The sequence below is a fragment of the Homo sapiens genome, chromosome 2, assembly GCF_000001405.40.
Source record: "Homo sapiens chromosome 2, GRCh38.p14 Primary Assembly".
NCBI classification, from domain to species: domain Eukaryota; kingdom Metazoa; phylum Chordata; class Mammalia; order Primates; family Hominidae; genus Homo; species Homo sapiens.
The window spans coordinates 36986186-37009390 of NC_000002.12; the positions used below are offsets into that span (position 1 = coordinate 36986186).

The 23205-nt window shown below is 39.8% G+C and overlaps 1 protein-coding gene across 10 annotated transcripts in view, besides 1 other annotated feature; it reads right to left on the minus strand.

The window, feature by feature from the left end:
• The window catches only part of HEATR5B (HEAT repeat containing 5B), a 103478-nt gene that overhangs the window by 5291 nt on the left and 74982 nt on the right, over nt 1-23205 (minus strand). For 4 of the 10 annotated variants that reach the window (XM_006712035.5, NM_019024.3, XM_047444814.1 and 1 more), the window contains 8 exons: nt 22426-22663; nt 20865-21119; nt 19447-19574; nt 17357-17501; nt 16121-16387; nt 14401-14628; nt 4463-4614; nt 2461-2674 (listed from right to left, as the gene is read on the minus strand). In XM_006712035.5, coding sequence (XP_006712098.1) covers nt 2461-2674; nt 4463-4614; nt 14401-14628; nt 16121-16387; nt 17357-17501; nt 19447-19574; nt 20865-21119; nt 22426-22663 — 1627 coding nt within the window. Of the gene's footprint in view, nt 1-2460; nt 2675-4462; nt 4615-14400; nt 14629-16120; nt 16388-17356; nt 17502-19446; nt 19575-20864; nt 21120-22425; nt 22664-23205 lie in introns of those variants that run through there. The other 6 variants (XM_047444810.1, XM_006712034.3, XM_047444812.1 and 3 more) reach the window with 4 other exon arrangements.
• Nucleotides 16739-16905: a silencer, noted in NCBI's record as "fragment chr2:37230067-37230233 (GRCh37/hg19 assembly coordinates)". NCBI's record gives its function as "represses an EF-1alpha promoter that drives an FKBP-Casp9 reporter gene in an ReSE screen in phorbol 12-myristate 13-acetate-treated (for megakaryocytic differentiation) K562 erythroleukemia cells {active_cell/tissue: K562(+PMA)}" and the evidence as "EXISTENCE:reporter gene assay evidence [ECO:0000049][PMID:32094911]".

The window sequence follows — 23205 nt, forward strand, 5'->3', positions numbered from 1 at the left end:
AAGTTATTTTGATTTGCCAAACATAGGCCATGTCAGTCATAAAATTTTTGCCTAAATAACCTATATTGTTACTAATTTCAACTAAATTTATCAACTTCTCCAAACACTGCCTTTTCTGACTTTCCCAATTTTGATGTTGTTTTCATGCAACATAGTAATACTTGCTTCTTTTCTTTTGCCTTCTATAACCAGTTAATCATCAAATCAGATAAACCTTTCTTCCACTTTCTCCTCTGCATTCTTTTCTTCTACTGGCATAGTTCTGGATTATTATTTTATAGAGGAGCTATTGAAATCGCTTTTCAAAAATCTCCACTACTTTTCCAATTTTCTGTGAAATGTTTTTAAGAGAAGAGGAAAAAATTTTTAACAGAAAAGAAAAAACAGGTACAGTTTGTAGGTGGAGAGCAATGTGACAATATAGATTAAAAGTCTTTTTTTCTTTTTTTTGAGATGGAGTCTCGCTCTGTCACCCAGGCTGGAGCCCAGTGGGGTGATCTCAGCTCACTGCAACCTCCGCCTCCCGGGTTCAAGCAATTCTCCCGTCCAGTCTCCCGAGTAGCTGGGATTACAGGCGCATACCACGAGGCCTGGCTAATTTTTGTACTTTTAGTAGAGACAGGGTTTCATCATATCGGTCAGGTTGGTCTCGAACTCCTGATCTCAGATGATCTGCCTGCCTTGGCCTCCCAAAGTGCTGGGATTACAGGCATGAGCCACCGCGTGCAGCTAATTTTTTGTATTTTTAGTAGAGATGGGGTTCCACCACGTTTGCCAGGCTAGTCTTAAACTCCTGATCTCAAGTGATCTGCTCACCTTGGCCTCCCAAAGTGTTGGGATTACAGGCATGAGCCACTGCGCCTGGCCAATTAAAAGTCTTAAAATGTGCATTCCCTTCTCTCCAGTCATTTCACTCTTAGGAATCTGACAGAAATAATTTAAGAATAAAGATGCTCATCTCGGCCAGGTGCAGCGGCTCACGCTTGTAATCCGAGCACTTTGGGAGGCTGAGGCAGGTGGATTACTTGAGGTGAGGAGTTCAAGACCAACTTGGCCAAGGTGGTGAAACCCCATCTCTACTCAAAATACAAAACTAAGCCAGGCGTTATGGCACATGCCTGTAATCCCAGCTACTCAGGAGGCTGAGGCAGGAGAATCACTTGAACTTCAGAGGCGGAGGTTGCGGTGAGCCAAGATCGTGCCACCGCACTCCAGCCTGGGCAAGACTTTGTTTCAAAAAAAAAAAAAAAGCTTCATTTGTGATCTTGAAAAATTAAAAACAGCTTAATGTTCAATCATAAGATACTAGTTTAAAAAGTACAGTCTGTCTACAATTAAAAATCATATTTTGAAGGACAAATATTGTGATAAAATCAAAGCTTAAGTATTAAGGGAATAAAGAAAATATATTAAACTGCATAAGTTTCTGGTTAAATGGATGTATGCAGTAGTTTTTCATTAAATTAAAAAAAATTCTAAATAACAAGTTTTGAGATATTTTAATAATTATGTTTGGTATTAATACTTAACTGGTTATATTTGTTATAAAGCTTTTATACCTCTATTATGAAGATTAGAATATATTATTTTAAAACCCTATGAAATGGGCATGGTAGCTCACACCTGTAATTCTAGCACTTTGAAAGGCCAAGGCAGGTGGATCGCTTGAGTCCAGGAGGAGTCAGAGACCAACCTGGGCAACATGGCAAAAACCTGTCTCTACAAAAAATACAAAAATTAGCCAGGCATGGTGGCACATGCCTGTAGTCCCAGCTACTCCGGAGGCTGAGGTGGGAGGATTGTTTCAGTGCAGGAGGCAGAGGTTGCAGTGAGCCAAGATGGTGCCATTGCATGCCAGCCTGGGTGACAGAGCGAGACTGTCTAAAAAAAAAGAAAAAAAAACCCTATTAAACATCTATATTTTTCCTAGATCTTAAGGGATGCATACATTCCTAGAAAAAAAAAAATCGCTGTGTTGAAATGCCATTGGCAATTCATTTGAACTTCCTGCTCAAAAACAAACAAAGAAAAAAATCAACTCACTACATTATGTAACAGAAGCAAAGGCCTGGTTTTTTTTCTTTTCTTTTTTTTTTGAGATGGAGTCTCGCTCTGTTGCCAGGCTGGAGTGCGCTGGCATGATCTCGGCTCACTGCAACCTCCAACTCCCGGGTCCAAGTGATTCTCCTGCTTCAGCCTCCCAAGTAGCTGGGACAGCAGGTGTGCGCCACACACCCAGCTAATTTTTGTATTATTAGTAGAGATCAGGTTTCACTATGTTGGCCAGGATGGTCTCGATCTCCTGACCTCGTGATCCACCCACCTTGGCCTCCCAGAGTGCTGGGACTCCCAAAGTGTAAGCCACTGCGCCCAGCAGGCCTGTTTCTAATATCAAATAAGATTTATATACAATACAGATCTTCATTCTGAACTAGTAGCTTTTTATAAGAATATACTTACTGTTTTGTTCTTCACCAAGAGCAACCAGTGTTTCAAGAACTTTTATTCCTTCTTGAACCGCTAAAAGCTCTATGTTACTGGCTGGTCTGTTTCTTTCAACAGCTTTTAGCTTTTCAACCACTATTGGAGCTAATGAATGAATATAAGGAGTTGAAAGGGCACGATTGGAATGCTGGAAGACTGAGAGGAGAAGCTGGTAACATTTGGCTTGAACCTATATAAGAAGAACATATTATCAATTAACATGTGTATAGTTCTTATTTGCTCTACAATCACATTGCATCTTACTATGTACTGAAAATAAGTGATACTGCAGGACAAAAATGGAAATTACATTTTCTACTTAGAGAAATGGAGTAGAATAGAATTTTGTGACAAAAATTAGTCAAAAATGTTCATATATTTTAATGACCAAATCACCATGCTTATACAATTCCTGTATTTCTTTTTTCTTTTTTTGAGATGGAGTCTCGCTCTGTCGCCAGGCTAGAGTGCAGTGGCACCATTTTGGCTCACTGCAATCTCTGCCTCCCGGGTTCAAGCGATTCTCCTGCCTCAGCCTCCCAAGTAGCTGGGATTACAGGTGCGCACCACCACACCCAGCTAATTTTTGTATTTTTAGTAGAGACGGGGTTTCACCATGTTGGTCAGGACGCTCTCAATCTCCTGACCTTGTGATCTGCCCGCTTTGGCCTCCCAAAGTGCTGGGATTACAGGTGTGAGCCACCATGCCCGGCCAATTCCCATATTTTAATACTGTGAAATAAGTTAGAAATCAGTTATTCCCACTTCTGTTTTTAATTCTTCCTTTAATGTACAATTGTCCCTCCCATTTTAACCAAATATATTTACTAAGGAAGGTTAAATATTTGAATGATCTGAAACAAAGCTATAAAAATACATTGCTTAGATATCTCAAAACCACTTGATTCCCTGGAAATGACTGTTAACAATGTAAGGTTTCCAGACCTAGAAAATAAAGTCTTACTGGCTCCACTTTGTATTAGAAAGGCTTCAGATTAACACTTTTTTAAAAAAATGAAGGAAGGAAAGAAGGAAGAGAGGGAGGGAAGTCCCACCAATATATGGGACACAGTGGAAGAAAACCATTTCAGTGCTTTGGTAGAACACAAGTGGCTAAATATGGCTAGACACAAGAAAAACCTGAAGAACATTTTAAATATACAGATCTTGGAGCCACCTATCTGGAGACTCAGATTCAGGAAGACAGTACTGGAATCCAAGAATGTTTCCTTTTTTTTTTTTTTTTTTTTTTTTGAGACGGAGTCTCACACTGTTGCCCAGGCTGGAGTGGTGCAATGGCACAATCTCAACTCACTCCACCTCCTGGGTTCAAGTGATTCTCCTGCCTCAGCCTCCCAAGTAGCTGGGATTACAGGCGCATGCCACCACACCTGGCTATTTTTTTTGTATTTTTAGTAGAGATGGGGTTTCACTACAGGCTGGTCTCGAACTCCTGACCTCCTGATCTGCCTGCCTTGGCCTCCCTAAGTGCTGGGATTACAGGCGTGAGCCACCGCACCTGGTCTTCAAGAATGTTTCTGCTTTTTAAAATTTCTGACGTGTAGCAGGCTTGAGAATCAAGTTTAGACTCTGACATTGTAAAATAAAAAATCTTACTTTCTAGACAAACTAGTTTCTAGCAGGTTCATTAAAACGTCAATAATATAAGCTTCTCCTTTAATGTCCTTAGCGTCATTTAAATAAACACTGGAAAACATAATCATAGACTCTTGTCTCTACCAGTATGCCCTGGGGTTAATCAAATATTTCAGATATTGAAGAATTTCTACATATGTGAATAAACATACACATGTGTTCTAGTGCTTAAACCCAGTGATTTGTTTCAGTTTTTCCATTTAAAAGCCATAGTGCAAATACTTAGCTTTTCATTATGTATCACATATTTTAATGAATCAATCTGACATTTTCCTGATAAAGGGAAATGTTTTTATCTATGTCTGTGTAACGTGTAACTTACCCATGGGTCGCATGAATTTAATGCATTTTTAAATCTGTTCATGCAGCCATTCTGTAATGACTGGACTCCTATTATTTCATTACTAGCAGACCACAGGAAGAGTGCAATTGCTGTTAGCATGCTTACTTCATCAGGTGTAGGTACAGAGTCTTCTGAAAATGAAAAATGAAAGAAGTGTGCTGTTTCTAAAACATTTTGGCATTTTATTTTTTTATTTTTGTAGAGAGAGACGTTGTCTTGCCATGTTGTCCAGGCTGGTCTTGAACTCCTGAGCTCAAGTGATCCTCCTGCCTTGGCCTCCCAAAGTGCTGGGATTACAGGTGTCAGCCACTGTGCCTGGCCAGAATTTTAATCTTGAACAATCATCTCTCTCTCCCCACAACATTTATAGTAGTACTTGCCTTAATCTAATACAGTCCACAGACAACTGTAAGAAGTTCAATGTATAAAGTTAAATGTATGCAGTTATATTTAATGCTAAATTATTATAAAATATTCTAACTAATTTTAAAATCCAGAGTACATTTTTAAGTGATATCTCCTTTCAATTTAGTAAATATGAAAACCTGTAAATTCCATATAACCATTAAAAAAATCGGTTGGGTGCAGTGGCTCACGCCTGTAATCCCAGCACTTTGGGAGGCCGAGGCAGGCGGACCACCTGAGGTTGGGAGTTCGAGACCAGCCTGACCACAAAATTAGCTGGGCATGGTGGTGCATGCTTGTAATCCCAGCTACTTGGGAGGCTGAGGCAGGAGAATCGCTTGTACCGGGGAGGTGGAGGTTGCAGTGAGCCAAGATTGTGTCATTGCACTCCAGCCTGGGCAACAAAAGCGAAACTCTGTCTCAAAAAAAAAAAAAAAAAAACTTGGACAATTTCCTGAAGACAGTGTTCTAAGAATTTTAAGGAATTTCTTGCCATTACATTTATTCAGGAATAGATACAACTTGAACAGAAATATAGTACGTAATTAGAAATAACTAGAAATATGAACATTTATTCTAAAGAACAATATTTCTGAACATATAAAATACGAGTTCCAAACATTTTGTGATTATCATTTCTTCAATAAAACTGATCCCTATCTTTTGTGTAAATTTGACCTATTTTGGCAACTGTAAATACCCAGTGATAATCAGTACTTTAGAAGGATTACAAACATATATATGTGACATGCTAACATTATCTCATAATAAGGGTACCAGCTTTTTGTAATATGGAATAAAGGGTTAAGAACAATAGTCTAGAAAAAGTCCATTAACTTAATGTAAAGAAATAAAGTTTAAAAAAAGAGATGTCGGCTGGGTGTGGTGGCTCATGCCTGTAATTCCAGCACTTTGGGATTTCTAGAACAGACTGGACAACATGGTGAAACATCATTTCTACTAAAAATACAAAAATTAGCTGGGCATGGTGGCACACGCCTGTAATCCCAGCTATTTGGGAGGCTGAGGCTACAGAATTGCTTGGATCCGGGAAGCAGAGGTTGCAGTGAGCCAAGATTGCGCCACTGCACTCCAGCCTGGGTGACAGAGTGAGACTCAGTCTCAAAACAAACAAACAAAAAAACAAACAAAAGAGATGTAAAATTTGAAGGATTTAATCAATTTATAATAACCTGAGTCACGAATGTTAAAAACCTGAGAACCCACCCAGACTAGGCAGCTCACTCCTGTAATCCCAGCACTTTGGGAAACTGAATTGGGAGGACTGCTTGAGCTCAGGAATTCAAGACTAGCCTGGGCAATATGCTGAGACCCTGTCTCTACAAAAAACAAAAAAATTAGCCAGGCTTGGTGGTGCATGCCTGCAGTCCCAGCTACCTGGGAGGCTGAGGCAGGAGGATCACTTTAGCCCTAGAGGTTAAGGTGGCAGTGAGCTGCGTTCATGCCACCACACTCCAGCCTGGGTGACAGAGTGAGACCCTGTCTCAAAAACAAACAAACAAACAAAAAACCTAAAACAAAAAAACCCTGAAAACCCCATCATAGGAAATTTATTCTACATAGAATATAATCTCTTACTCAGAGTTGGCAATGCTGCAAGCAATTTTTTATCAAAAATTATTTTATATTCATTTTTTAAAAATTATTTTTTTTTCTTTTTTCCCCCCAAGGAAGAGCTGGAGTGCAGTGCCATGATCATAACTCACTGCAGCCTTGAACTCCTGGGCTCAAGCAACCCTCCCACCTCAGCCGCCCGAGGAGGTGGGACTACAGGCATGCACCACCATGTACAGCTGAATTTAAAAATTTTTTATAGAGACAGCGTCTTACCATATTGCCCAGGAAAGTCCGAACTTCTGGCCTAAAGCAACCCTCCCACCTTGGCCTCCCAAAGTGCTGGGATTATAGGTTTAAACCAAGGTGTCCGGCCCCATTTTATTTTTAAATTGTGATTTTAAGAAGATGGGGCATCTAAATATGATTTTTCTACTGAAAGGAATCAAGGCTTTTGGAGAAGGGGCTGATTCTAGAACAGTGAGGGGGAAATACTCAGTCTGCTACATCTTGGGGCTAGAAAGTATGGAAGTGCTCAAGAAATAATGGGGCCACATTGAAGTAACAGTAAGGGACCCACTGAATTAAAAAAAAAATTATGGGCCGGGTGCAGTGGCTCATGCCTGTAAATCAATCCCAACACTTTGGGAGGCCGAGGTTGGGGGATCACCTCAGGTCAGGATTTCGAAGCCAGCCTGGCCAACGTGGCAAAACCCCATCTCTACTAAAAATACAAAAACTAGCCAGGAACGGTGGCGGACACCTGTAGTCCCAGCTACTTGGGAGGCTGAGGCGGGAGAATTGCTTGAACATAGGAGGTGGACGTGGAGGTTGCGGTGAGCCAAAATCGCGCCATTGCACTCCAGCCTGGGCAACAGAGTGAGACTCTGTTTAAAAAAAAAAAAAAAAGAAAGAAAGTTTGATGGGAACAGACAAGCGAGAAAGTCTCAAAGTATTTCCCCACAGGTTACCTATTAATTATAAAATGGAAAAATGGCAACTTCATAGTGGGGAAACACGGCAGACAACTTCTTAACAAAGTTATTAAAGTTAAGATTCCCAATAATGGGACAAAGCAACATTACAAAGCAATATGTCTTAGTTATATGATGTGCTAAGATATAACATTACTTATGCAGTATTCCTGCCAAGATGCATACATTGAATCTAACCTGAGAGGAAAAAAAAAAATTAGACAATTCTAAACTGAGAAACATTCTACATAATAGATGGCTGGTATTCTTCAACAACATTAATGTTATGAAAGACAAAGGCTGAGGAACTGCCCCAGATTAAAGGAGACTAAGGCAATATAATGACTAAAAAAAAAGAAAAGGGCTCTATGACGGTTATTATTAGGACAAGTAGTGCCAAATTTGGTAATTCTTCTGTGGTTATGGAAGGGAATGTCCTTGTTCTTAGGATATCCATGAAGTACGTAGGAATAGAGTCATGATGACTTCATATCCTCAGATGGTTCAGCAAAATTAATAATAATATTAACAATAATGATATGTGGATTATAGAGAAAGTAATAAACCAGGTGTGGCAAAATGTTGACAACTGGTGAATCTAGGAGAAGGGTATGCTGGAGTTCCTTATGTTATTCTTGCAACGTTTTTTAAAGTTTGAAATTTATTTCAAAGTCAAAGGATCTAAAAACGAAAAACAATGTTGAAGCAATTAAGAGTGATTCATTAGATCCAAGAAGATTTTTGTACGTTTGTACATGTTCACATGCATACATATCCTTTTTAAAGTGAAAGATGCCAGATTTTGTAACAGGAAATAGGATTTCCATAATGGAAATACTCTATTATAAAACTTTGCTTGTTAAGCAAGGGATCTGCTTGCCTCGATATACAAATATACAAATATGCCTGTGGCTTTGATCCCTACTTCATAACTGGCTGTGTCTCCTATGAACTCAGTTCCAGACAGAATACCTCAGGCAAGTTAATTCTATTATCAGACCTTTAAATTCACCTCATATGAATGAACTAGCTTGATAACATATCAAAACTTTCCCTTAATGAACAATTTCAAAAATATTGACTCTAGACCCCCTCAACAAAAATTAAATTAATTATTTTAAAACAAATTCTTATTTATTTATTTTTTGAGACAGAGTGTCGCTCTGTCGTCCAGGCTGGAGTGCAGTGGCGCGATCTCAGCTCACTGCAAGCTCCGCCCCCGGGTTCACGCCATGCTCCTGCCTCAGCCTCCTGAGTAGCTGGGATTACAGGTGCCTGCCACCACGCCTGGCTAATTTTTTGTATTTTTAGTAGAGACGGGGTTTCACCATGTTAGCTAGGATGGTCTCGATCTCCTGACTTCATGATCTGTCCACCTCGGCCTCCCAAAGTGCTGGGATTACAGGTGTGGGCCACTGCGCCCAGCCACAAATTCTCAACGATTTCTTCGTCTTGTTATTCCTTGTTTTTTTTTTTTTTTTTCCTGAGATGGAGTCTTGCTCTGTCACCCAGGCTGGGATGCAGTGGCTTGATCTCAGCTCACTGCAACCTCTGCCTCCTGGGTTCAAGCAATTCTCCTGCTTTAGCCTCCTGAGTAGCTGGGATTACAGGCACATGCCACCACACCCCGCTAAATTTTGTTATTTTTAGTAGAGACGGGTTTTCACCATATTGGCCAGCCTGGTCTCGAACTCCTGACCTCGTGATCTGCCCACTTTGGCCTCCTTTGGGATTACAGGTGTGAGCTACCATGGCCAGCCCTTGTTATTCCTATCTATACACACATATACATATATAAATATGGCTTTTAATGTTTCTTCAGTTTGTTAAAATCTACCTTAAGAAACAAAATACCAGCTCTTGATAAAGCTAAAATAATTTTAATCACATTAATAAAACTAAAGTTATCCCTGGTAATTTTTTAGAAGTCACATATTCACTTAAATGTATTCATTGTTTAAAATAGAAAAAGAGTATAGGAGAGAAAGTAAAACTTGTAACTCTACCACCCAGTAATAGTTTAAAAATTAAATTACTATGTTTTGGTTTAATTTCTTCGGGTCTGGGTTAATTTATATAGTTGGTTATAAACATGGTACTTAATAGATATATTGGATATATTATCCAAATGAATATACTATCATGTACTTTATAATTCTTCCCATTGCCAGATATAGTTATCACACATTTTCATTGTTGTAAGATAGATATAATAGGTGATAAATAACCTTGAACATAATTTTTTGATCAGTAAGGCTAAAGAGTATGCTTCTATTTTTTGGAGACAGGGTCTTGCTTTTTTGCCCAGGCTGGAGTGCAGTGGTGCGATCTGGGCTCACTGCAGCCTCTGCCTCCTGGGCTCAAGTGATCCTCCCACCTCAGCCTTCTGAGTAGCTGGGACCACAGGCACACGTCACTGCGCTCAACTAAATAATGCAATTCTTTTTTTTTTTTTTTGAGAGGGAGTCTCGCTCTGTCACCAGGCTGGAGTGCAGTGGCGCGATCTCAGCTCATTACAACCTCCACCTCCCAGGTTCAAGCGATTCTTCTGCCTCAGCCTCCTGAGTAGCTGGGATTATAGGCGCCTGCCACCACGCCCAGCTAATTTTTTCTGTTTTTAGTAGAGAGGGATTTCACCATGTTGGCCAGGCTGGTCTTGAACTCCTGCCCTTGTGATTTGCCTGCCTTGGCCTCTCAAAGTGTTGGGATTACAGGCGTGAGCCAATGTGCTCGGCCCTGATTTTTCTTTTATATGCTTGGTGGCCATTTCTATTTTCTTTGATACAGATGTGTGTTCTTTTCTTTCTTTTTTTTTTTTTTGAAATGGAATCTCGCCCAAGCTTGAGGGCAATGGTGCGATCTCAGCTCACTGCAACCTCTGCCTCCTGAGTTCAAGCAATCCTTCCACCTTGGCCTCCCAAGTAGATGGAATTACAGGCACCTGCCACCATGCCCGGCTAATTTTTGTATATATATATATTTTTTTGAGACAGAGTTTTGCTCTTGTTGCCCAGGATGGAGTGCAATGGCGTGATTTCGGCTCACCGCAGCCTCTGCATCCCTGGATTCAAGAGATTCTCCTGCCTCAGCCTCCTGAGTAGCTGGGATTACAGGCATGTGCCACCACGCCCAGCTAATTTTGTATTTTTAGTAGAGACAGGGTTTCTCCATGTTGGTCAGGCTGGTCTTGAACTCCTGACCTCAGGTGATCCACCCGCCTCAGCCTCCCAAAGTGCTGGGATTACAGGAGTGAGCCACTGTGCTTGGCCTAATTTTTGTATTTTTAGTAGAAACGGGGTTTCACCACTGAGGCTGGTCTCGAACTCCTGACCTCAAGTGATCAACCCACCTTGACCTCCTAAGTGCTGGGATTCAGGTGTAAGCCACTGCGTTTGGCCTCTTTCTTCTTTCACCTATTGGTGAGTAAGTGAATTTTTTCTAAGAACTCTTTGTATATTAATGATATCAACACAGACATAAATATTATTGTCAGTTTTTCAGCTGTCTTTTTTTCATCTACCATTTAATGTAAGGTGTTTTGATGGGTAGAAGTTAATTTTTTTGTTTGTTTGTTTGTTTTGAGATAGGGTCTCACTCTCTCACCCAGACCAGAGTTCAGTGGCACCATCATGGCTCACTGCAGGCTTGATTTCTCGAACTCAAGTGATCCTTCTGCCTCAGCCTCCCAAATAGCTGGGACCACATGTGTGTGCCACCATGCCCAGCTAATTATTTATTTTTTATTTTGTAGAGACAGGGTCTCACTATATTGCCCAGAATGGTCACAAACTCCTCTGCTCAAGCGATCTACCTGTCTCAGCCTCCCAAAGGGCTGGGATTATAGGCATGAGCCACCACACCCCATCTAATTTCTATATAGACCAAAACAGTAAAATTGTCCTCTGTGACATCTTTCCTTGACTTACAGTTAGTCCTCTGCCATTCTTTTTTTTTTTTTTTTTGAGACGGAGTCTCGCTCTGTAGCCCAGGCTGGAGTGCAGTGGCGCGATCTCGGCTCACTGCAACCTCTGCCACCCAGGTTCATGCCGTTCTCCTGCCTCAGCCTCCCAAGCAGCTGGGACTACAGGCGCCCGCCACCACGCCCAGCTAATTTTTTGTATCTTTAGTAGAGACGGGGTTTCCCTGTGTTAGCTAGGATGGTGTCGATCTCCTGACCTCATGATCCACCCGCCTTGGCCTCCCAAAGTCCTGGGATTACAGGCGTGAGCCACCACGCCGACCAGTCCTCTGCCATTCTAACGTAAAACATTCACCTATATTTTCTTTGTTTTCCTGTTTAAAACATTTTATGTTATTATTTTATCTGGTACTTGTTTTGATTCATGATATAAGAGCCTAAATGAAATTTATTTCTCAAACAGCTAACCAATGTGCTTTTATCATATATTATATTTTATCATATATTACATTCTCACATGGATGAATGTCTGTTTCAAAGCAATCTGTTCTGTTCCACTGATTCTTGGGCCTACTCCACAGTTTTAGATAACGTGGAAATGTTTTAATAGGTGAGATGACAAATCCTTCTTTACTATTCTTTGTTTTCAGTTATTTTATATTTTCTTTACAAAAGAAATAAACCTTGAAATAAAAAGTCAATCAGAAGAAAAACACAAAAATGTAAGCATTTCACCAAAAATTAAACATAGACATGAAAAATGTTAATGCTTACTAAGAAAATGAGTAATGCAAATTAAAACCGTAAGACAGTATATTTTACCAAACACAGCAAAATTAAAAAGTCTAACAATATCAAATACTGGTGAGAATGTGGGAAAATACAGATTATCATGCTCTGCTGGTGAGAGCGTAAATTCATGTAGCTATGTTGGAGGTCAATCTGGCAATGTCTGATGACATTGAAATGTACCATCGATTCTACTTCTAGGTGTACATCCTAGAAAATCTCTCACAGCACACGTGCATGAGAAATTTGTAAGGATGTTAATTGCAGCAATCTTTTTAACTGGGATAAATTAGAAACAACAAAAATATCATTGACAGGGAAATGAATAATAATTGATAAAAACATATGACAGAAACTATATGGGAGTTAAATGAGAGTTTTATATATTCACATTAACAGATGTAAAAAAAGTTATTGTTGAGTCACAGAATGAGATGACATTATTTATGTAAATTTTAAAACAGAAATATATATTGCTCATAGTTATCTTACTCTCTATATAACACATATATAAATATATATTTAATATAACTGACACATACTCATATAGAAAACATACTTATTTATATAGATAGATATTTCTAAGAAAAAACATAATATCAGGCCGAGTGTGGTGGCTCACACCCGTAATCCCAGCACTTTGGGAGGCCGAGGCAGGAGGATCACGAGGTCAGGAGTTCAAGACCAGGCTGGCCAACATGGTGAAACCCCGTCTCTACTAAAAATACAAAAATTAGCTGGGCGTGGTGGTGCGTGCCTGTAATCCCAGCTACTCAGGAGGCTGAGGCAGGAGAATTGCTTGAACTGGGACCTGGGAGGCGGAGGCTGTGGTGAGCCAAGATTGCGCCACTGCACTCCAGCCTTGGCAACAGAGCGAGACGCCATCTCAAAAAACAAAAAAACAAAAACACCCGAAAAAACATAATATCAACATGTAGTTCCATGTGGGGGTACAATGGAGTAGTGACAGGTACTTCAATTTTCTCTCCTGTTTTATTATTTTTATTGTAAAACAACAACTTGAAGAAAACATAAATATATTAACACATGTAAATTCTGGAGAGAGGCCGGGCACAGTGGCTCATGCCTGTAATCTCAGCAACCTGTGAGGCTGAGGCAGGCAGATCACTTGAGGTCAGGAGTTTGAGATCAGCCTGGCCAACATGGTGAAACCCCGTCTCTACCAAAAAATACACACGTTAGCCAGGCACGGTTGCGCACACCTGTAGTCCCAGCTACTTGGGAGGCTGAGGCATGAGAATCACTTGAATCTGGGAGGCAAAGGTTGCAGTGAGCTGAGATCGTGCCAGTGAACTCCAGACTGGGCAACACAGTGAGACCCTGTCTCAAAAAAAAAAAATTCTGGAGAGAGATATACATGTATATATTTAAAACCTCCCGGCCGGGTGCGGTAGCTCACGTCTGTAATGCTAGCAACTTTGGGAGGCCAAGGCAGGCAGATCATGAGATCAGGAGTTTGAGACCAGCCTGACCAACACGGTGAAACCACGTCTTTATTAAAAACGCAAAAATTAACCGGGTGTGTTGGCAGGCATCTGTAATCCCAGCTACTCAGGAGGCTGAGGCAGAAGAATCACTTGAACCCGGGAGGCGGAGGTTGCAGTGGGCTGAGATCACGCCACTGCACTACAGTCTGGGTGACGGAGCGAGACTTTGTCTCAAAAAAACAAAACAAACAAACAAAAACCCCAAAAAACAAAAAACCTCCCAGTATATTTATATATATATTTTTTTTGAGACAGAGTTTCAAAAAACTCTGTTTTTTGCCGAGCCTGGAGTGCAGTGGTGTGATCTTGGCTCACCGCAACCTCCACCTCCCGGGTTCAAGCAATTCTCCTGCCTCAGCCTCCCAAGTAGCTGGGATTACAGGCACGTGCCACCATACCCGGCTAATTCTGTATTTTTAGTAGAGATGGGGTTTCACCGTGTTAATCAGGCTGGTCTCAAACTCCTGACCTCAGGTATCTGCCCACCTTGGCCTCCCAAAATGCTGGGATTACAGACGTGGGCCACCACGCCTGGCCCCAACATGTTTATAACTATTAACACAAGGGCATTTAGAGTCAACAATCCAGAAAAGAGTATTAAAGTTCACATCTGAAAGATATGACTAACATACCTCTCTGAGATGATTCATTGTTATACAGCAGTTTTCTGATAAGCTTATTCAACTAATTCATTACTTAGGGAACACATATCCTAACTAACTAAAACGTTTAAAACTGATAGGTTACCTGGTTGAGAATATTCCAGGATGCAAGCAAGCGTGCTACGAATCAGAGCTGTCCACTGTTTTTGAACGCCAGCCTCAGTTTTGGCCATTGAAAGTGTCACAATACTTTTAATCCCTTGAAGAGCTGCACTGACTGGTGGAGGAACCTGATTATCTGCAGACTTTATTGCTGTGTCTTTCAATATTCTTGCAATTAAGAACAGAATTGTGGGCAGGATTGTCATACATCCTGAAAGAAAAACAAATCAGATCACCTCATAACTATTCAGTTCCCATATTATAGTTGTTTTCATTGCTTGTATTTTTTGCATTTGATTGTGGTTTAATATTGTTTTTTTCCTTGTCTTTATACAAAATTTACTGTATTACTACTACTATAATTCAATGTTTGAAAAAGAAAATAAGAAAGTGTCATATTATTTCAAAGACAGAATTGGTATTTTCTTTCTTTTTCCAGCTAGCCTTATTTTTATTACTTCTAATACTTCACCTATTTAATATTTCATGCCCTGTGTAATGAAAACGAAAAAGGAAGACAGAAAAACAGGAAAAAACCACACCAGATACTGTGGGAAGCATCTGAGTAACTTCATGAGTTTTATAGCACTTGTAAAACATGTAATCAATCCTCAGTCTACTAAAGTCAACCTAATCAGACCAGGAAAGTAAAAGGACTACTGGGGCAAGGAAAGAAGAAATGAAATAATCCTAGAATTTGTAACTGAAAATTCTAGGTCATGAAAATTCAACCTCCCACAAAAGGAAAAAATACCTTCACCACTCTGACCTGCAGCCATTGTAGCCTCTGCTTGCAAAACTCCAAATATGGAGAATTCATTATTTTCACATATGTAGGGTAACTCTAAGAGGTAGAAAGGTCTTCCGTGAGTTGAGCTGAAATTTATCTCTTTATCTGATACCATTTTTACCTTCCAGATCAGGAATGTCTAATCTTTTGGCTTCCCTGAGCCTCACTGGAAGAGGAATTGTCTTGAGCCACACATAAAATACACTAACATTAACAACAGCTGATGAGCTTAAAAAAAAAAAGTCTCCTCTGACATTCTTCAGAGTTTTTCTTTTTCTTTCTTTTTTTTTTTTGAGAGTCTTGCTCTGTCGCTGAGGCTGCAGTGCAATGGCGTGATCTCGGCTCACTGCAGCCTCTGCCTCCCGGGTTCAAGTGATTCTCCTGCCTCAGCTTCCTGAGTAGCTGGGATTACAGGGCATACGCCACCAGGCCCAGCTAATATTTTTGCATTTTTAGTAGAGATGGCATTTCACCATGTTGGTCAGGCTGGTCAGGAACTCCTGAGCTCAGGTGATCCACCTGCCTCAGCCTCCCAAAGTGCTGGGATTATAGGCATGAGCCACCGCACCTGGCCTTGAGTTTTTCAGTGTCACTCAAGAGTGGCAACCAGACTGGAAAACAGAGTTTAGTTATTCCACTTTATGTCTATCTGCTGACACTGTCTTTCCTCAACCTGTAGTTCCATGTCTTATTTGAAACACATCTGAAAAGAGCACCTTAGGTTTGTGACTTTTTGAATCTTTAATCTTCATAGGCTCCTAAAGGTAGACAAAACCTTAAAAAAAGACCAGCTTCTTATTTTTCACTTGAGATTTAAGAGGAAACTGGGTTATAACAGTGCTTAAAATCAAAGGCAAGCTCATCTTTGTCTACTGTAATATAATGCATTTCCAAATACTGATCAATACCGTACCAGCGGGTGAACAAAGGGATGGTAAATCAGAGAGTATGGTAACTGTGGCTGCCACCAAACGAGCACTTTCTTCTGATAGTCGAGTTTTAGTGGCTATGTGACTTGGAGAGTCTGACACCTTGGTACTGAGATGTGGCATATGCCGTACTAAAATGAACATCAGCAGCTCCATAGTTGCAAACACAAGAGATTTTCCAGGAATGAGACCACCGCTGTCACCTCCTTCTCCCAATACGGTACAGGCCTCTTTTTCCATATCATCTTCATCTGAGGTAAAAGATAATTTGGTGAAATTTCCAGCCAAAAAAAAGTATGTAAAACAACACAAGTATATTTAGGAAATTCCTTCAAAAGAATTTATAAGCAAATGTCAAATAATGTCACACGTCCTTCTCTGTATAATTCTCTGCCTCCCTAGAATTCTGTGCATTGATCTGTCCTTAAAGGTAACAGACAGTTCATTTTTCACTTGGAAAATCTTTATCAGGTATTTTTATTGGGTATATATTTTGTAATAGGAATAACACATGTTAGGTTGAACCAGATGAAATTGACAAAAGGTGAAAAATAGTCGACTCTCAGCAATTTCATTTGGTCCTTTCTAATGAAAATAAAATCAATTTCAAATCTTCTAAATGTATGATTAATTCTTTTTTTAATTAATAACTTCTGGCCAGGTGCCGTGGCTCAAACGTGTAATCTCAGCACTTTGGGATGCTGAGATGGACGGATCACTTGGGCTCAGGAGTTCGAGACCAGCCTAACATGGCAAAACCCTGTCTCCACTAAAAATACAAAAATTAGCTGGGCATTGTGGAGTGTGTCTGTAAACCCAGGTACTCTGGAGGCTGAGGTGGGAAGATCACCTGATCCTGGGAGTTTGAGGCTGCAGTAAGCCGAGATTGCACCACTGCACTCCAGCCTGGGCTCTTGAGAGTAAGACTGTCCCGCCCGCAAAAAAAAAAAAAAAAAAAAAAAAAAAATTAGCTGGGCTTGGTGGAGTGTGCCTATAGTCTCAGCTACTCAGAAGGCTAAGGCAGGAGGATCCTAAGCCCAGGAGTTACAGACTACACTGAACTATAATCACATCATTGCGCTCCAGCTTGGGTGACCGAATGAGACCCTGCCTCTAAAAAATAAAATAAGAACTATAGAAATATGTCCTGGCGTTAATATTTTAAAAATTAGAGTATAAAATAAGATTTACTTCAAGTTAGTGTAATTTCTAGTGCTTACTTAGAGTGTTTCTTTTCTCTTGCAAATAATCCTGAGCAGCTCTTACTATCTGTTGTACAACTCCAGTAACCAACAGCTGGACAGATGATGGATTCCAGGTCAATAGAAGGCGGTGCAAAACACTCAGCAACTCAACACCTATCAGCTAATACAAATAAATACAAATACAGTTAAGTAATTTCAATCTCAAAGAATAACTTTATATTGTTAAAATCTGAGAAAATACCTATGTAAAAAAAGAAATCAGGTAGCTAAAATTAAAATATAGGACTACGTAACAAATAAGAACATTGTAAAAATCTTGAGAAATGGTCACATTTTACTCCTATGTATTTTCAAGCAACAAATGATTTATTATTTACATATTTAAATGTGCTTTATATTCAGAGATGATCATTCTCCTATTGGAAGGAAATAATTGAGCTAAATAGTATTGTAGAGTCCAGTGCTGCTAAAATTTATAATTTCTAACCTGAGCTGAATATCCAAGAATTTCTACAACCTCTGCCTACCACAGATTGTAGAAATCTCTGGTGAGTTCCTCTTCTATTCACTTCAGCAACTACTACAAACTTTTGCCACCCACTTTAAGCTTCTTACTCACAATCTTCCATACCAAATCCATCCAATGAACCTAAATGAAATTTCAAAGAGGGGGAAAAGACTTAACTGCAACCAAAGCCACCTTTACCTCTTTCCTTAAGATCATGTGTTCAGCCTCTTATGTGAGGCTTAATCTGAGGTTAATCTTTCCTTATGTGCTCCTATCCTAACCTATTTGACTTCCTAGGGATTCTTCAAGGACTCTGATCATATCTCGTATGTTTTCAACTTCTCTCTCTAGTTAGGCTACTCTTGTCAGTATAATGACAATGCTCAAGTCTTTCTTATCACATGTCCCCCCTGCACTATTCCCAAAGCCTCCAGATCCTTTTATCTACCCTATGTCCTCCTCTATGTATCTGGCTCCTTCCTTTCCCAGCCTAGATGCTTCCACTTCCTTTACTCTCTTATTCACTCCTCAATCTTCTACTATCTGGCTACTGGTCACCTCAAACAATCCTCTGCGGGAGGTCACCAATAGCCTCCTCTAGACTCATTTCTGTGCTTATTTACTCGATTCTTTCTTTTGAGACTCTGTCTACCCTTCTTGAAACTCCTCCCTTGTCTTTGATAACTCTGTTCTCTTTTGGTTCTCCTGAAACTTCTCTAGCAGTTTCCACTGTTGATTTATTTCCTTCTTCTCAATTTTTAAATGCTATTTATCCTCAAGCTTCCAATCTTGGTCCTCTTTCTTCTTCCTTTATTCAGCCTTCCTAGGCTAGTGTTATCATTTCTCTGGAATTATGAAAAAAGCCTCAGAACTGGCCTCCCTGTCTCCCTTCCCATCTCTTACAAACCAACCTACCTCTACGGGCTGACAGAATGATCCTTCTGAAATATAAAGTTAGTTACATCATTCCTCTACTTAAACATTTTTAATGATTCCCTATCACTTTCAGGATAGGGTTCAAACTCTTTTACATGTCATCAAGAAACCTTCATGATTTGGTCTTCACCTTGTTGTCCAGCCTCATCTAACAACCTCATGTTCCATTCATATCGGCCATAGTAAATGGCTATGCCCTTGAACTTGCCGTGTTCTCTCATGCCTCCTAGTGTTCGTATTTGCTATTCTTTCTGAGAGGAAAACCCGTCCCGCATGTGTTGCCTCACTAATTCCTCTTGAAGATTTGATTCAACCATTGCCCACTCTGAGAAACCATCCTTTGCTTTCCTATCACAACATCGGGCTCCTCCTCTCTATTCTAATTGCAGCTTTACATGCACTAAAATAGCACTTACCACACTGTACCTATCTCCTAATTCAGGCACAGTGAAACTGCTTTCACTATCTATAACCTCAAACCACGTTTGAGGCAGACCAGGCACAGAGTAAAAGTAACTGGGTGAATAAATACAGGGAGTCAGTGTATTCATATCATGTTAAAATAGGATCCAATACAGAAAAAAAATCCATCCTTTTTTCCATTGTAAAGCAATACTCAAAAAAAAACCACACAAGTATCTATCATAGCAATACACTGTACCTGATCTTCTGCAATATGGACTCGAGCATAAGGGGAGTCTAGCAAGGTATGTAAGGCCTGCAGGCATGCTGTAACATGTTCAATGGGCTCCTCAGGTCTAGGGGAACAAAGAAACTGTATACTCACACCTGAAATGCACAAAATAAAAACATGTTTTTTCACTTATAAAACACTTTATGTTGTTTGATCCCATATTTCTTCTCTATTTATGTTTTTACAGATTACCTTAACATGTATTTATTAATACCTTAAAGTAGACTTCAAAATGGTTTCCAAGTTAAACAGCCAAACTCAACATAAGGTTGTAGTTTTGCAATTAGGTTAATATTCAAATTAGCTATGTGTGAAAGAAGGAATTCCCATGCCATCAGGTTGATTATGAAGATATTAAGTTTTTATTTCTAGGACTTTTAAAATAATACATTAAGAAAATAAATTTACAAACATTATAAAATTGTTTTTCATTAAATGGTAGCCAAATAATTTTTCATGCATACAAAGTTTTTAAATGGCAAGTTATAGAGGCACAATGGGTATCATAGTAAACAACTGCTTTTAATTTACATAGGGGTAAAGTCATTGTTTTGGAAGTTTTTCACATTTTCACTTACCAGATCTACTGATGAATCCGATAATTACACCTTATTGTGTTCCTTTTCACTCCCAGAAAACATAAGATCACTAAAAGCTTCATTACCATGTATAAATTCTTAAATGTTAAAAAAGCATCTATAGCTGGGTGCAGTGGCTCATACCTGTAATCTCAGCACCCAGCCGAGGTGGGTGGATCACCTGAGGTCAGGAGTTCGAGACCAGCCTGACCAACATGGAGAAACCCCACCTCTACTAAAAATACAAAATTACCCGGGCGTGGTGGCGCATGCCCATAATCCCAGCTACTTGGGAGGCTGAGGCAGGAGAATCGCTTGAACCCAGGAGGCGGAGGTTGCGGTGAACCGAGATTGCGCCACTGCACTCCAGCCTGGGCAACAAGAGTGAAACTCTGTCTCAAACAAAAAACAAAAAAACAAGAAACAAAAAAGCATTTATAAAGCAATTTTACATTAGGATTCACTGAAATCTTCTTAAACATTTTTTTCTTAATGGGATAATTGGTTAAGTGCCAAGTAAAAAGAAAACCTGTTGTTGAATAAAAAACATATTACGTTTTTTTACTGAAAATTGTTCGATATTGCTGTGTGAATGAGCATGACAGTTAAGTAGTTTCAGTAGTTTTTAATAATTTAATTTCTAGGTTAAAAATTCAATTAACAATTTATAAGGTGAGGTGAAAAATCCTTTCACTTTTCCTTCTCTGAACTGTGCTATACTGTACAAAATCTTTCCATAGCTTTAAAATGAAAGATATGAATTTTCAGAAGTGATAATCTTGAAATATATTAATATGACAGACCTACCTAAAATCAGATGCATTCTGTCTTTGTTAATTTCTGGCAAAGATTTAGCACTACCCACTGCTCCTGATGCCTGGTTTAAATTGACAGATGTAGAACGTTTTTGTAAACCAGATATTGCTGCTGCTTCTGTAGACTCTGAGCACGTAAATCCTGTGCTATTTAACCAAAGTGCCACCGCATGGAGAATTGGGGCCCAGGAATTCCGATAGTGAAGTCTAGCTGTATCAATAGTTTCAGGGGTATAAAATGCTCCACCTGTAAAGCAATCAAATCAATTAAAAACATTACTTTTTTTTTTTTTTTTTTTTTTTTGAGACCAAGTCTCGTTCTGTCGCCCAGGCTGGAGTGCAATGGTGCGATCTTGGCTCACTGCAACCTCCTCCTGCTGGGTTCAAGCAATTCTCCTGCCTCAGCCTCCTCAGAAGCTGGGACTACAGACATGCGCCGCAATGCCCAGCTAATTTTTTGTATTTTTAGTAGAAATGGGGTTTCACCATGCTGGCCAGGCTGGTCTCAAACTCTCAATCCACCCGCCTCAGCCTCCCAAAGTGCTGGGATTACAGGCATGTGCCACTGCACCCGGCCAAAATATTACTATTATACATGTTCGCTCATTTATGAACCACTAACAAAAATACCTGTTACATACAAAAGAGAAATCTAGCCAAAGGGCTTCTCCTCTTTATAAAGCCACCAAAAGTAACCCCTTTTCTGTAGCTGATGAACTGGAATACCTGTCTCTTCCTCACTGATGCTAGTTTTCCAGCCTTTCCTCTGCTACTGCTGATGTCACTAAGTATTCTTACCTTTTCTTACCCTGTTGTCACAGAATTTACCTCTTCATTGTTGCCAGTGGCTCCTAAAACCCTATCATCTTCTCTTTCTATCACAACCAGGGAACTCTGTTTCTTCCCTCTGTTTCTTTCTTCTTCTGCTATTCCTCTCCACCTCCTGTTGTTTCCTCTACTAACACTGAGGACTTCCTCATCACTCCTTGCTGTTATGATGGATTAAGGAAGGAAAAAAGGGGGCGGGGGAACTCCATTATTCTTATCATTAATATATAGGAAGGAGAATGGGTTCTTCAAGTAGGAACTAATAACACACTTTCTAAACAGAAAAAAATGTTGACGATTTCTACACTGATTTTGATAAGAAAACTAAAGTACAATTTGCAAAGCACTTTAGGAACATAATTTATTGGCACACTAGGAATCTGAAATAGAATATGAAAATACAAACATTGAACAGTACAGCAATATACATCTATGGTTATGCATAATGACTTGTTACCCATAGCTATTTAGAATACCCTAGCTCATACAGCTATTATTGTAACAGTGCTTGCTAATATGTTTGCTTCAGCCAACAAAAAAGCTCTATATCTTCTATCTACAAATTCAATATAGAGTACATATTCTAACTGAGACAACATCAAACTTAAGCCACAGAAATTTAAACTGTTACTATAGCAACTGTTGTTGCTAGTCTATACCGTCTCTATTTTGTTTAACTACTACTTTGAACTCCATAAAAGTAAAACTCAGAATGTAATACTCACCATCTGGAGGAAGCTGACTAGAAAATTCGGCTGGTAAAGTCAAGAGTGCATAATCTTTTAATGCTGCTAACCACAGGCGACTGAGTGTTGGTAGTTCAGGTTGTACCAGTGTTATTAAACTATCTGGTGGCAGTTCATCGATGGTACCACAGTCGTCATCATCATCGTCAGTATTTTTAATTGCTCTTTTTGGTTTTGACTCTGCTTCCTTTTTAATATTCATAGCGACCACATATACCTAATATGATATTTATGAGGACAAAATAGTAAGGCATAAGATAAAAAAATAAGATATTTTACGTTATTATAAAAATACAGTTAAATCATCAAAGATAACTGGGTATAGATATTAGAAAGTATACACTTTGGCTGGGTGCGGTGGCTCACACCTGTAATCCCAGGACTTTGGGAGGCCAAGGCGGGTAGATCATGAGGTCAAGAGATTGAGACCATCCTGGCCAACATAGTGAAACCCTGTCTCTACGAAAAATACAAAAATTAGCCGGGCATGGTGGCAGGCACCTGTAGTCCTAGCTACTCCAGAGGCTGAGGCAGGGGAATCGCTTGAACCAGGGAGGCGGAGGTTGCAGTGAGCCGAGATCGCGCTGCTGCACTCCAGCCTGGTGACAAAGTGAGACTCTGTCTCAAAAAAAAAAAAAAAAAAAAAAAAGAAGAAAGTATATACTTTGATCAGGTGCAGTGGCTCATGCCTGTAATCCCAGCACTTTGAGAAGCTGGGAATCACTTGAAGCCAGGAGGTCAAGACCAGCCTGGGTAATA